This window comes from Homo sapiens, chromosome 13, assembly GCF_000001405.40.
Source record: "Homo sapiens chromosome 13, GRCh38.p14 Primary Assembly".
NCBI lineage: Eukaryota > Metazoa > Chordata > Mammalia > Primates > Hominidae > Homo > Homo sapiens.
Genome location: NC_000013.11, coordinates 105657579 through 105672228, shown reverse-complemented (window position 1 = coordinate 105672228; position 14650 = coordinate 105657579). Strand labels below are relative to the sequence as shown.

At 35.5% G+C, this 14650-nt stretch overlaps 1 long non-coding RNA gene across 3 annotated transcripts in view; it reads left to right on the top strand.

Annotated features, from left to right (window-relative positions):
- The window catches only part of LOC105370345 (uncharacterized), a 134781-nt gene that overhangs the window by 34628 nt on the left and 85503 nt on the right, over positions 1–14650 (top strand). Inside the window, exon 6 of one of the 3 annotated variants that reach the window (XR_931702.2) lies at positions 9344–9593. The exons of the other annotated variants lie outside the window; for them this stretch is intronic. This is a non-coding gene — a long non-coding RNA (uncharacterized LOC105370345). Of the gene's footprint in view, positions 1–9343; positions 9594–14650 lie in introns of those variants that run through there. 3 annotated transcript variants of the gene reach the window in all.

The window sequence follows — 14650 nt, the reverse complement described above, 5'->3', positions numbered from 1 at the left end:
TTTTCTCATTGGTTTCACTACCTCAAGCATCTTCTTATCCCTCCAGTTTTGTCCATATATCAGCCAGAGTGATAGATATGATAATGTATTCTACTATTAGAAATCCGTAATGATTTCCTATTGCTCTTGGGATAAAAAACAAAACACTATGAAGCCCCATTGATCTTAGGATAGGGACTTAAACTTTCTTATTCTCCACCATTTTTGTGATAGAGACTCAAACACTGTGATCCTCCCTCCTCTTATAATAAAGACCCAAACCTTATAACACTTCATCTCTCTTAGGATAAAGACCAAAATCTATGATACCCTGCTGCTCTCAGGATAGAGACCCAAGCCCTCTATCTGGAGTACAAGGCTCTCTTACAATGCTGCTAGTTACCCTAACTTCCTCTCTTCAATATTGTCATGAACCAGGATTCCCCTCACTTTCTGGCTCAGCCTTCCTTAATTTCTTCATAGGTTTCTCAACTTCTCATCACTGCATCTTAGAAGTGTATAATTTATTTATTTATTTATTTTTACTTTCAATATTTTTCTCTTAAATCTCCTACTTTGCTGCCTGGTTCAAACCTATGATTATCCAAGTTTATCTCATTTTTATTTTGTCAGGGCCTTTTCCTTGACTGTTCAGGCAAGACCAAGTTATACCCCTCTCCTGATAGCACTTAAAAAACATTGTAATCTTGGCCAGGTGTGGTGGCTCACGCCTGTAATCCCAGCACTTTGGGAGACCGAGGCAGGTGTATCACGAGGTCAGGAGTTCCAGACCAGCCTGGCCAATGTGGTGAAACCCCGCCTTTACTAAAACTATGAAAATTAGCCAGGCACGGTGGCTCATGCCTGTAATCCTAGCTACTCGGGTGGCTGAGACAGAAGAATTGCTTGAATCTGGGAGGCAGAGGTTGCAGTGAGTTGAGCTGAGATCACATCATTGCACTCCAGCCTGGGCGACAGAGCGTGACTCCGTCTCAAAAAAAAAAAAAAAAAATTGTAATCTTACATTGAATTTTGTGGTTCAGTTTTTTTCTCTACCACTGCACAGTTAATTTCAAGAGGGCAGGGCCATGTCTAATTCTACTTATTATATTCCTACTGAATATTATGTAGTTGACATATATTAAATAATTTTAATTTAAATAAAATGTATTTATTGAGTGAATGTAGGACTTGCTGTCATATAACATATTTCTAAGTCTGATTCTATCTTCTACTATACTAGATAATTAGTTCCAAATTTGATGTATATATGTTATAATGTGATTAGACTCCCATAAAAAAGTATTAAATAATAAAGAGAGTTAATGTGTCATATCACAAGAAGGCCAGAAGTAGGAAAGTTGTAGTAGTTTAGCCTCTGAATCAGATGGGGTTATAAATTAACTTCTTTTACTCACCAGCTGTGTGAGCACAGTTATATATTTACAGATCACTGAAACATTTTTTTGAAATTCAGTCTGCTCAAGAAAAAAAACAGGAATGAGAATATTACCTTTCACACAGGGATTCTTTCAAAATTACTGAATTAATGCATTCAAAGAATTCTTTCAGTACTGTTCAAGCACTTCAATATTACCAATGACAGTTTCCTGCAGTATCTTGGATATTATTCACGTGGACCTATAGAGTGTTAGCCATTTAAAAGTCATCAGCTGCTTTTGCTGTCTCCATGTTTATTACAGCATTTAGGACTAGGTTCAACTACTCATAACAGAAAATGTTACTGTAGTGGCTTAAACACAAATAATTTATCTTGTGCAAAACATTCAGGGGTGAGCATTTGGGGAGAATAACACCAAGAAGCCAGACCCTTTGTAACTTCCTGCAGTGGTTTTAGCACCTTCAGGCGGGAAAGTCAAAGAAGAGAGGAGTGACCTTGGGAGACTGATGTACGTATCACTGCCCAGAAGCAATCATTTCTAACAGTGAAAAAGGAGGGGAAATGAAGGTTTTTGCCTCCACAATCTCTATAGTAGAAGCAGACAAGGCAATAGGGGAAGGGAAAAAAGTTTGGTCCATCATATATCCTAGGTGTAGGTATTTGAGGGTGATGACCATACCAGTTAATTAGGGGGAGATGAGTAGATCCTCATCTCTTCCAAGTATAGGAAGCTAACTTTGCTGTAATTGTTACTAATACACCCTTCAAAATCACCATTTTGAAAGGTTTTGTGAAATGAGCATTATTTTCTTTTAATACAAGGTCAGACCTTCAGAATGATGAATAAACTCATTTGAGGGCAAGTACCAATTCAGAGCTGCTGTAAAGTAGGCATTTTCAAGAAGAAGGAATACTTCTCATGTTTGAACTGTGTAAGCAAGTCTTTATTTATTTTTTGAATCCTGAAACAGCAATTAGAAAAGAGAGAGGAAGATATTTCCTTTTCTGAAGGCTGCCAAGAATAAATCCTATTCTCATTTGTTAAAATAAAAAGAGGTAATAAGCTAAAGTAAGAATACACTAACCTTATTCTTGAACCCAGCCGCCTCTAGAAAAAAACACTATAAAAGTGAAGCTAAGTTCAGTAATTTTTGCAGTCATTGCCTTTTTGTTAGCTCTAGTTATCTTTCAAGTTTTATTGATAATAAAACATTAATTGCAAGGACAACTTTTGAAATCTATTATTGAATACCTAGGACACTCATGATGTCTCTCCACATTCTTGCCAAGGAATTGCTTTATGAATTAAACCACTTGGGGAATTAAACCACTATCAATTAAACATACAGTTGTATAAGGATAGACATATACTACTTTACATGCAAAAATTTAGGCCATAGCAATTTAGTAACTACCACGTTACAGGGACTGGAACTTTTCACTCCCCCACTTCTTCTATCTCACCACTCTGTTATATGAAGCTATGATTCTCCATTCAGAATATAACTACATTAGTTTTTGAAATAGGAAAATATGAAGGACAGACTCTAGAAATATCAGAATCACTTGGACAACAAAGTCCAAAATATGTATTATGAAAGTGAATTATCATGTTTGACTCAATATGTTGCTGCAAATAAATAAAAATTATTTGCTCAATATAGATACTCCTTATATGCCTCAATATTTTATATACACTGACTGAATATTTATGACTATGTATGAGCAGAATAATGAGAAAAAAACTTACTAAAAAATCTAATTATTTTGTTCCTTTTCTTAATAAATGTCCCGTTTCACAGTTATAACACTTTCTGGATTTTTATTTTTATTCTGACTTTATAAAATAAACATTATTTTTAGAATAGTTTTAAATTAACAAAAAAACACACAGAGATTACAGAATGCTCCATATATGTTATACATATATATATATATTATATATACACACACACACATATATTTAAATACGTATATTATATATATATTTTATATATCCCGTCCCCTCCCCTAGAAATCACTGAATTGTTTACTGGCTCTAAAGTTTTGCTCTCATTATTAAATATGTAACAAATATATATTATATATTTATATACAATGTATATAAAATAAATATATATACACATGTAAAAAAATATATATATATTTTGCCTGCTCCAGAATTCCATTCCATCCAGGATACCACAGAACTTTCACTAATCTTGTCTCTTTGGGTGCTTCTTGGCTATAACAGTTTCTTAGGATTTTCTTATTTTTGATGACCTTCACAGTTTTGAGGAGTGCTGGTCAGATATTTTGTAAAATGTTCCTTTCTTGTAATTTTTCTGATTTTTTACCATGATTAGACTGGACTTAGGGCTTGTGGGGATGGACTGTCACAGAGGTAAAATACATTCTCATCACAGCATATCAAGGGTTTATACTATTGACATGACTTAAAACTATTGATGTTAACACTGATCACCTGGTTGAGGTAGTATTTGTCAGGATTCTCCACTGTAAAGTTAATTTTTTCCCTGTTTCTATATTGTATTTTAGCTATATCAATAAGAACTCATGGACATTTCTCTTGTACTTTGGGTTATAATCCAATCTTTTTTATTTTTGCTCAAATTGTTCCAGCTTTGGTCATCGGACACTTTAAGTAGCTGCTGTGTGCTTTTGATGTTATTGCAGCTTGGTCTGTTTAGCACTTTCTTACTTTCTAAAATGTCAAGATGCTCCAGGCTTATCTTGTATATTACCTTATGTAGCTCCAGGATTAACCATTTCTCCAAGGTTTTGACAAACTCATAGTGTCATGTATTCACCATTACAGTATCATACAGAATAATTTTACAGCCCGAGAACAGCCCTGTGATTCACCCAGTCAACCTTTCCCTCCCTTAGAAATTACTGATTGCTTACTGGCTCTAAAGTTTTGCTCTTTACAGAATATCACATAAATGAACTCATGGGTATGTAGCTTTTACAGACTGACTTCCTTCATTTAGTAATATGGATTTAAGATTCATCCATGTCTTTGTGTATGTTGATAGCCCATTTTTAAATCACTGAATAATATTTCATCACATGGATATACCATGGTTTATTTGTTCATTCACCTATTGAAAGGCATCTTGATTGTTTCCAATTTGGGACAATTATAAATAAAGTTGCCACATGTATAAATATGCATGCTGCTTTTTGTGTGGATATAAATGTTCAAATAAGTTAGTTAAACACCTGGTAGTCTGATTGCTGGATTATATGATAATGCTACATTTTTCCTTGTTAAGAAACTGACAAATTGTCTTCTAAAGCAGTTGTGCCATTTTGAGTTCTGATCAGCAGTGGATGAAAGTTCCCATTACTCCATTTCATTGTCAACAATTATTTTCATTATGTTGTTTTCTTTTTGGTGAGTTTTAAAATGGCTTTGTATATTTTATATATAAGTAATTTATTAGATATGTGTTTTGCAAATATCTCCTTTTAGTCTGTGGATTGTCTTTTTATTCTTTGAACAATTTATTTTATAAAACATAAGTTTTTAATTTTGATAAAGTCCAACACATCTATTTGTTTAATTGATTGTGCTATTGGTGTTATGTTTAAAAACTCATCACCAAATCCTGGGTCAGACAGATTTTCTATTATGTTTTTGTCTAGAAATTTCATCATTTGTATTTTACATACATTTGTGATCCATTTTGATTTAATTTTGTGTAAGGTATAAGGTCTTTTTCTAAGTTTATTTATTTATTTATTTTTGTATGTGGATGTTCAATTAATCCAGAATCATTTGTTGAAAAAACTATTCTCTTTTTCTTTCAACCTTTTTGGCCCTTTTGTCAAAGATTAAATGATGGTATTTCTGTACAATAATCATATGATGTGGCTGTGTCCCAACCCAAATCTCATCTTGAATTGTAGTTCCCATGATTCCCACGTGTTGTGGGAGGGACCCTGTGAAAGATAATTGAATCATGGGTGAGGTTTTCCCTATACTGTCCTGTGGTAGTGAATAAGTCTCATGAGATCTGATGGTTTTATAAGGGGCACCTCTTTCACTCGGTTCCCATTTTCTCTTTTGCTGCCGCCATGTGGGACATGCCTTTTTCCTTCCACCAGGATTGTGGGCCTCCCCAGCCACGTGGAACTGTGAGTCCATTGAACATCTTTTTCTTTGTAGATTGCCCAGTTTCTATCAGGAGCACAAAATAAACTAATACCGATGATATCTGTCTTTTCTGTTCTGTTCCATTGATCTAAGTGTTTATTGATTGGCTAATATCATGCTATCTTGATTACTGTAGCTTTGCAGTAAATCATGAAGGCTAATAGGACAAGTCTTTTGACTTTCTTCTTATTCTTTTTTACTACTGTATTTGTTTTTCCAGGTCTTGTGCCATTTGTATGAAATTTAGAATCAGTTTGTTTCCATCTACAAAATAGCTTGCCACGATTTTCTTTTTGTGGTTACATTGAATCTACAGATTAGGTTGAAGGAAATTGACATCTCAACAATGTTATGTCTTCTAATGCATAAACATGAAATATTGCTCCATTTATTGAGATCTTTGATTTTTTCATCAATGTTTTATAGTTTTCAACATACAAATCCTGTGCATATTTTGTTAGATTTATATTTGAGTATATCATTTATTGGATGCTATTGTAAATTATAAGGTTTTTTTTACATTTTAATTCCAAATCTTTGTCTTTCATGTATGAGAAAGCCATGGACTTTTTATATTGCCCTGATATCCTGTAACCTTGCTGTATTCACTTATTATTCCACCTAAGCGGATCTCAGCTGCATCTGCTGGATGAGGTGGTGCTTTATCCTATAACTTCTATTCTCTGATGCATCCAATAAAATTCATTGATTTTCACTTTGTCCTGCTTTTCCTTGTAAGAACAGGAATAATGAAGTCCAAGCTTTCACACATAGGAGATAAAACTGAAAGTCCACACATTCTGATTTTAAAAAATCTTCTATTCTTTTGTTTTGCTATTCATATGTGTTTTTTAAATGTTTATGCTTGAGGTTTGAATTGTTTATGTAATGTAGAATCCACAGATAAACACAATTAGCAAATGTAAGCTATAATTCTTACAGTTTTAAAGGTACCTTTGTATGTACCCCACAAAAAATAGATGTCAACAATTTGGAGGCTACTTTTTATTTAAGTAATTTTACACCTGCTTTCTCTTTTTTTTAATGAAACCCAGTTGCAGTTCTTTGAACACCAGGAAAAACTTCCTAGCAACCTCTGATGTATTCCTGCATCTAGAGTAGAAACACAGCACACAGCACAGTAGAGAATTGAAAAATTTGAGAAAAAGAGTCAGTTGTTGGCCACATTGACTAAGACTCAGGCACGCACATACACATACCAAAGTGATTAGCACCTTAGTTGAGCTCAAATAAGGAGGAAAAAAACCAGCATTACAAGAGTGAGACAGTGGCAGGTTACTACTAGCCCTGCCTGTGGTATTTCTCTTCCATTTGACCAGAAATGGCAAATTCTGTTGAAAAGAATGGCCCATTTTCAGGCAAAGCTTTAGGAAGCACATGATTTCCACATAGAATCTGGCCTTTGTCAGACATGGTATGGGACTGTAAAAATGACTTATTCCAAGATGAGAACACATGGGGTAGAGCTTTAAAACCTGCAAGCCATGCGTTGTTCTCTTATTGAAGTTTTGTTAAAGCTGTTCCAGACATTTGCTGCCTTTGCTTCCATTTTTGGACTTGAGAGAGAAGAGGCATCAAGACGTCTGCAGGGGGGACATGAATAAGTGTGTGTGCACATGCGCACCTGTGTGGATATGTCAAAATAATAAAGTTTAATAATTGATTTCTATAATTATTAAATATAGCTTTACTAATTGATAGCTATAATTATTAAACATAGCTATAATTATTAAATATTAATTATTTTATATGTTTAGAAAAAATCCTATACCTTTGATAATATTCATGTGTGCAAAATATATTCTTCTGTCCTGGTAACTGCTCTGTTCATAATCATCTTTTTTTGGACAAACAAAGAAAACATATAGACAAACAGGATTAATATAAAATTTAACAATTATATAGCAATACAGTGGCTAACTATAGCTACTCTAATTAATTACCTGTTCTAGAGTGATTGGACTATCGCAGGTATAAACCCTAGCAGGGATAAAATCTTTTTATTTATATGCTATATAAATAAAGTATGTTCTAAAACACTTGCATGATTTATTCCACGAATACTGCATGGATTTCGTTGCACGTGAGAATTTCTCTGCCTGTTCTTCCTATTAACCACTAAATGTTATGTCATGCTGGGGATGTGAGCCCTGAAGCAGTGACAGGAAATATCTGCAAAATGGCAAATGCCTCCCATTACTGAGAGTGCTGATTACAAAGCTACAATTACATGTGGATTATTCATGTTTGCAGCAATATAATGAACTGGTTTATAGTTTTTCAAGAAGAAAGCATCTGTAGTATAGTAAAAATTACTCTGAATCTTGGATCAAAGAATCCGGGTTCCAATCCAGCCTTTGTTACCAGTAGCTGTGTTAGTTAACTATTGCTGTGTAACAAATTATCCCAAGACTTAGTGGCTTAAAACAGTAAGTATTTGTTATCTCTTACAGATTTGATGGGTCAAGCATTTGGGAATGGCTAAACTGGACGGTTCTGGCTTGGGATCTTTCATGAGGTTACAGTGATGATGCCAGTCAGGGCAGCAGCCACCTGTAGGTATGACAGTGGCTGCAGCATCGGCATCCGAGGTATCTTATTTATGTGGTATTGGCAGAAGATATCCACTCCTCACTGGCAGCTTGACTGGCCTCACTTTTTAGCAGCTGACTTTCCCCAGAATGGGAGATACAAGAAAGAGAGGGTGAGAAGGAAACCATAATGCCTTTTTGACCTGGTCTTAGACGTCACAAGTCACCATTTATACACATTCAGTTTATTGGAAGTGAGTCACTAAGGGTGGTCATACTTCAGAGCAAGAAAACTAGCCTCCCTTGTATGAAGTGAGGAATGATATAAAAAAAAGGGTGTATTTTCATACCACCATGGTGGCCATATGAGCTTCAGTAGTTAAACCTCGCTGAACATCAGTCTTCTCCACAAATGAAAATAACAATATCTACCTCAAAGAATTATTGGGGCTGTTCAGTAAGATGATGCATCTGACATATTTTGTAAAATGTAAGCTATTGCATCAGTGTAAAGTTGATTGAATGTAATGTCAGTGATGTTTTGTCATAGACATCACCAATGCATGTTGAGGAAATCTTGTTTAGTGACTTCCAAGTTAGGCAGACACTGGTACTGTGCACCCTCCTCTCAAAAAAGAAGCATGCAAATCTTTGACTGTTAAAGTATATAGCATTCAAAGATTTTGTTGTAATCATTGAGAATAATAATTTAATTATTTATATATAATTAATTATTGTTTAATTATTAATTAAATTATTATTTAATTATATATAAATATATAATTATTTAATTATTATATAATGAATCAGGTGCAGTGGTTCACGCCTGTAATCCTAATCCCAGCACTTTGGGAGGCCGAGGCTGGTGGATCTCCTGACGTCAGGAGTTCGAGACCAGCCTGGCCAACATGGTAAAACCCCGTTTCTACTAAAAATATAAAAATTAGCCAAGCATGGTGGTGCATGCCTGTAATCCCAGCAACTCGGGAGGCTGAGACAGGAGAATCGCTTGAAACCCAGGAAGCGGAGGTTGCAGTGAGCTGACATTGCACCACTACACTCCAGTCTGGGCAACAAAGCAAGACTCCATCTCATAAATAATAATAATAATTTGTTAATGAAAAATGTTAATTTCCAAAGAATGATAGAGTTTAAATATCAGAATTATTTATCTTATTATTTTTGGTGGATTGCCTAAATATACAGACTTTGTTTTTCGTGTTTTTGTTTGTTTTCCCATATGACAAGAGGCTGGAGACTGGCAGGCAGGCAGCATGAGCTTCTGCAGCAGCGCAGTTCTGTGAGCCATGGCCCCTCTGTTTCTGGGTAATCACCCTCGTCCTTGGTACCTTCTGCCTGCTCCCCTTGCAGCACTGATCCTTCATTCCAGGCAGATGGAATAAGATCAAAGCACAAAAAAAAAAGTTTGCTGAATATGCCCTGTTTTATTTTAATTTCTTATTTTCAAATAAATTTAGACTTTTGGAAAAACTGTAAAGATAGTAGAAAGTTTTTGTATACTTTTCATCCAGATTCACTTAAGGATAACGTCTTTTATAATCATGGTATATTTATTGAAATCAGAAAACCAACATTCACTATGAGCCAATTGGTATTAGTTACGCTATAACTAATTATTATTAACTAATAGTATCATTATTTACTTATCCACAATACAATGATGTAATAACAAAATATAGTATATAATATTAAATACAGCAATGTAGGATAGTAATGATAGTACTACTGCTAGTTTTAGTTAATAATATTAACTAATTTACAGGCCTTATTAAAATATTTTCAGTTTTACCACTAATGTCTTTCTTCTGGTTCCACGATTCACAATGCATTTATGTGTCATGTCACCACTGTTGTCTGCAATCTGTGCCAGTCCCTCACTCTTTTCTTGTCTTTTGCGAACTTGAAACTCATGGAGAACGCTTGGTCTGTTATTGTGTATAGAATGCCCCTCAGTTTGGGTTAGTCTGATGTTTTCACATGACTAAATTGAGGTTATGCAGTTTTTCAAAACTGCGGCAGATGTGATGATACTGTGCTTTTCCACTATATGATAGCATGTGATGTATGAGATGTAAACACGGATCATTGTTTTCTTTTCCTTTTTTTTTTTAAGACGGAGTCTCGCTCTGTCCCCAGGCCAGAGTTCAGTGGCATGATCTCGGCTCACTTTAACCTCTACCTCCCGGGTTCAAGCGATTCTCCTGCCTCAGCCTTCCAAGTAGCTGGGATTACAAGCATGCGCCACCACCCCCAGCTAATTTTTGCATTTTTAGTAGGACGAGATTTCACCACGTTGGCCAGAATGGTCTGGATCTCTCAACCTCGTGATCCACCCACCTCGGCCTTCCAAAGTGCTGGGATTATAGGCATGAGCCACCATGCTCAGTGGATCATTTTTTTTTTATGTTTTGTTTGTTTGTTTGTTTTGATTTCTATGTTGTCTGTCAGATGTCTTTTAAGTGATTTTTTTTTAAATTTATAACTTGTAAGTGTCTTCTGGGAAGATATTTTTAGGCTATGGAAATACTCTGTTTTTCATCATACACTTGCCCACTAATTTTAGCATCAATAATGGCTTTTGCCTGCAGTGACTACTTATGTAGTGTTTAATGTGATGATTTCTGTAGGGATATATAAATGAGCCAATGAGAAACCACAGACATCACATTTCTAGCTTAATTCTGAAAGGTAAACGTCTCATTGGCAAATTTTAAAAAGTTAAGACAATTTGGTTTCATCAGGAGACCCAAAGAAAAAATGAGTAGTTTGAATTTCTGGTCATAAGGATAGTATTCTTGATCTTCTTAATATGGAAGCAACTAAATATATTTACAACAGGAAGAACTAGATATACTTGCAAAATTCAAAGAGAAAACCAAAGCAATACAGCCAAGTTCTATTTGCAGGTCGAGATCTTCCAAAGAAATGGCAGTATTGTGATAGGTATGTACTTTTAAAACTGGAAAGAGATGGGAAAGGTACAAGTGGATGTTCATCATGGCGTAGACATCAATACATGATCAGTCAAGTTTTACTTCTTGTTTTAATGAGAAGAAAAAGCTGTGATTCTTTATTTATTCAAAATCACCATCACTTTTTTCTTTAAAATAGTCAGACTACTAGGGCCTCTGATACTTATTGGAAGATAAAGTTAAGGAGAGAAAAGGGGTGTATAAAGTAAAAATATATGGCAGCTGTCCAACAAAGTCAATAATCCACTTTAGGGACCCCAAAATAGATTTTCTGGAGTGTCTGTCTGTGCACAAGTTTGTCAGCATTTGAGAGAAATGACTGAGCAGCCACAACAAAGAGTGTTTAAACAAACCAATCTGGATGTCAAAAGGTTATGTGCCGCAGAGGGCTGCTGGTGTTAATTCTATATGGATTAACACCACAGCCGTTTCTTAAAATAGAAAAACTTGAAAGAAGTGAGTGAGCTCAGAGACCTTTTTTTTTTGTAGGAAGTCTAGATGAGACATTTATTTTTTTCTTTGAACTGGTGAAGTTCTCTCTACTCAGTGCGACTGGTGAGGTTGCATGAAAAGTCTGTGAATCAATCACAGGACCCAGTTCTGCCCTGAGACCTCAAGGAGAGAGGAGGCTATGCTGGACCCCGTACTGTAGAGGATCCCCACTCCTACCCTCTTGTGGACAATGCACCCCTCGGCATGGGGCAAGAAGTCCAAGAACGCCATAAGCCAAGGGAACGTACACACAATTAGCCTGTGTCTCCTTCTGCACAATGCTTTCTGTGGCTCTTCCTTGCAGAGTGTGGAGCTCATTTGCAAGAGCAGATCTCTTGCTTGGATTCATGTTCTTGTGGTCACACCACACCATCCCCAGTATGGGCCTCTCTCCAGCAAGGGGATGAGGATGTTGTTTGATCGTGGGGCTAATGTACATGACCACTGGGACCCTCCAAGGTGTGGCAGGCTAGGCAGGAATAGCAGAGAATTCACTACAGGGGTGTGTGTGTGTGTGTGTGTGTGTTTGTGTGTGTGTGTAGGTAAGGAATATAGAGCAGGAGGCTTTCACAATATTCCAGATGGAAGACAGTGAAATCCGCCAAGCCTAAATTCAAATCATACCAAAAGGTATAAGGAGTTAAGAGAAGAGAATAGGATATACCTTACTTGTTTAACAAATTGTTTCCTTTTTTATATAAAGTAATTTTAGGTGGTAAAATATACAGAAAATATAAATATATACAAAACCTACATAAAATTTACCATTTTCATCATTTTTCAGTGTGAAATTCAGTGGCTTTAAGTTCATTCATGATGTTGTACAACCATCGGTACTATATACAGAACATTTTCATAATTTTAAACGAAACATTTGTTCCTATTAAACGCTAACTTCCCAATCCCCTGTACCCTCAGGCCTTGGTAACCATTATTCTTCCTTCTGCTTTCCTGCATTTGCCTATTCTAGATCCTGAATATAGTGGACACATGCAGTGTTTTCCCTTTATGTCTAGCTTCTTTCCTGTAGCACAGTGTTATCAAGTTTCATCCATGTTGTTGCGTGTATCAGTACTTCATTCACATAATTTTATAGATAAATAATATTTCATTGCATGTGTGTACCGCATATTGCTTATCCATTCATTAGTTGCTGGGCACTTGACTTGCTTCCATGTTTTAACTACAGTGAATATGCTGCTATGAACATTGTTGTACAAGTGTCTGCTTGAGTCCCTGTTTTCAATTTTTTGGGGTATATAATTAAGAGTGGAATTGCTGGATCAGACAGAAACTGTATGTTTAACATTTTGAAGAACTGACAAGTTATCGTTTCCTTGGCTTTCCCTTATACTATTTGCACATGTAGCATGCAGATCTCCACTGTAGCCCTGGGTCCTGCAAATATTATTAGGGACAGGGCGTGACAGCAACCTTATGGATCTATACATGTAGACAGTAAATCAATCCTTGTAAATGTTAGTCTTTCACTTTTTTTCACTTTTGCTTTCCATATTATATAAATGAGAAATCTGGGTTTCCATCAGTGTTCAAACTTGGAAACTTTTGTGTCATATTAAAAAAAAAATCCAAATCAAGCTGTTTTGTGGTATTTCAGATCTGACTGAAACCAGGAAGTAATAGAAATATAAAAAGAAAACTTGATCTTCTGAGGTTTTCTTTACCAAAGTAACTGGGATAAAAATTAAGCCTTTAAAATTTTTGAGGTTCATATATCAATACCACTGATTTCTAAAAAATATTGTATGACTAGCTTCTTTTGGAAGGTAAAAAAACTCAGTTCTCCTACAAGACTTTGTAGAAATTCTTTGTCTTAAATCATATAGCTTAAAAAATGAGCCTTTTAAAACTGTGAAGGATATCAGAAAGAAATGTGAAGAAAGAAGAAAAGCACAAATTAAAAGAACGAACAAGAGCTACGTTAGCAGTGAGACCCAATTTAAAGAGTTTGGGTCCAGCCAGAGCTTTTCAAATCTTTTGAAGCTTATACAGTGTTCTGATCCCTAACAACCCATATTCTTGAAAAATTAACCAGAAAACTAGCATGAGCTAAATGTCTTTATGTTTGAATTAGAGAACAGGGAAAGGTCTTGCTGCCTTTAGGGAAAGCTTTTAATCAGAATGTCTCTTCATCCTGGCTTTTGACCTTTCCTAACATTCAATTGTTTTTTCACACTGCTCTTGAAAGAGCCTGCGGCTCTAAGAAAGAAGGATGGATATCTTCCCCTTGCTTAGCACGGTTTATGTCAAGATTTTGCCCTTGTAAAAGCACCTAAATGTGCTGGTGACAGACAGAGAGGGATGATCATTCAAAAGTAGTCTCTGCTTTTGTTAAACTTTTATTTCAAAACAATGGAGAGCACATCCCATCACTGCTACGAAAAGTTCTAACTTCCAATTCATAGGTCATTTTTTTGAAATTGTATTTTCTGATTAAAAACACATATTTCTCCAACTAGTATCCATCCTTATTTCTAGAGGTATCACCGTGCATTTCGCACCCCCTAAATAACCTTCTTGCCCCGTAAAAAATATTTTGTAAGTATTCGTATGTACCCACAGTCCATAATTAGGACATCTCACTTCTCTTTGTTAAAAATTCCTTATGTTTACAGCTTTTCAAAGGGCTTTGCATTCACTAACTAAGTAGTCGGAAACTTTTGAGACAGCTTTGCAGAACAAGACACAACAACTACATGTTGAGTAACTTGCTCACGGTTACATGATAGTTATGTAAGATGCTTGGTGATAGGACTGGGCGCTAACATGTTTTTCCCAAGAAAAATAAACCTCCATTGCATCTAGTCCACACTAGGACGATGTTTTGGGCATATGTTTTTCCAAGCATCTGGTAGGGACAGATCAGGTCTAAGGGATTTCTGAAAGGTTTAAATTAAATAGGATTTCCCTTTAAAATTTTGATAGAGAAATTTAGAAAAAAAAGGAATCAAATGCTAATTCAGAAGGTATTGAGAACAGGAAAAATATTAGCTTATCAGGGAACTTCTTAAGGTCAGAGTTTCACTATCACATTCTAGCTTCTTCAGTG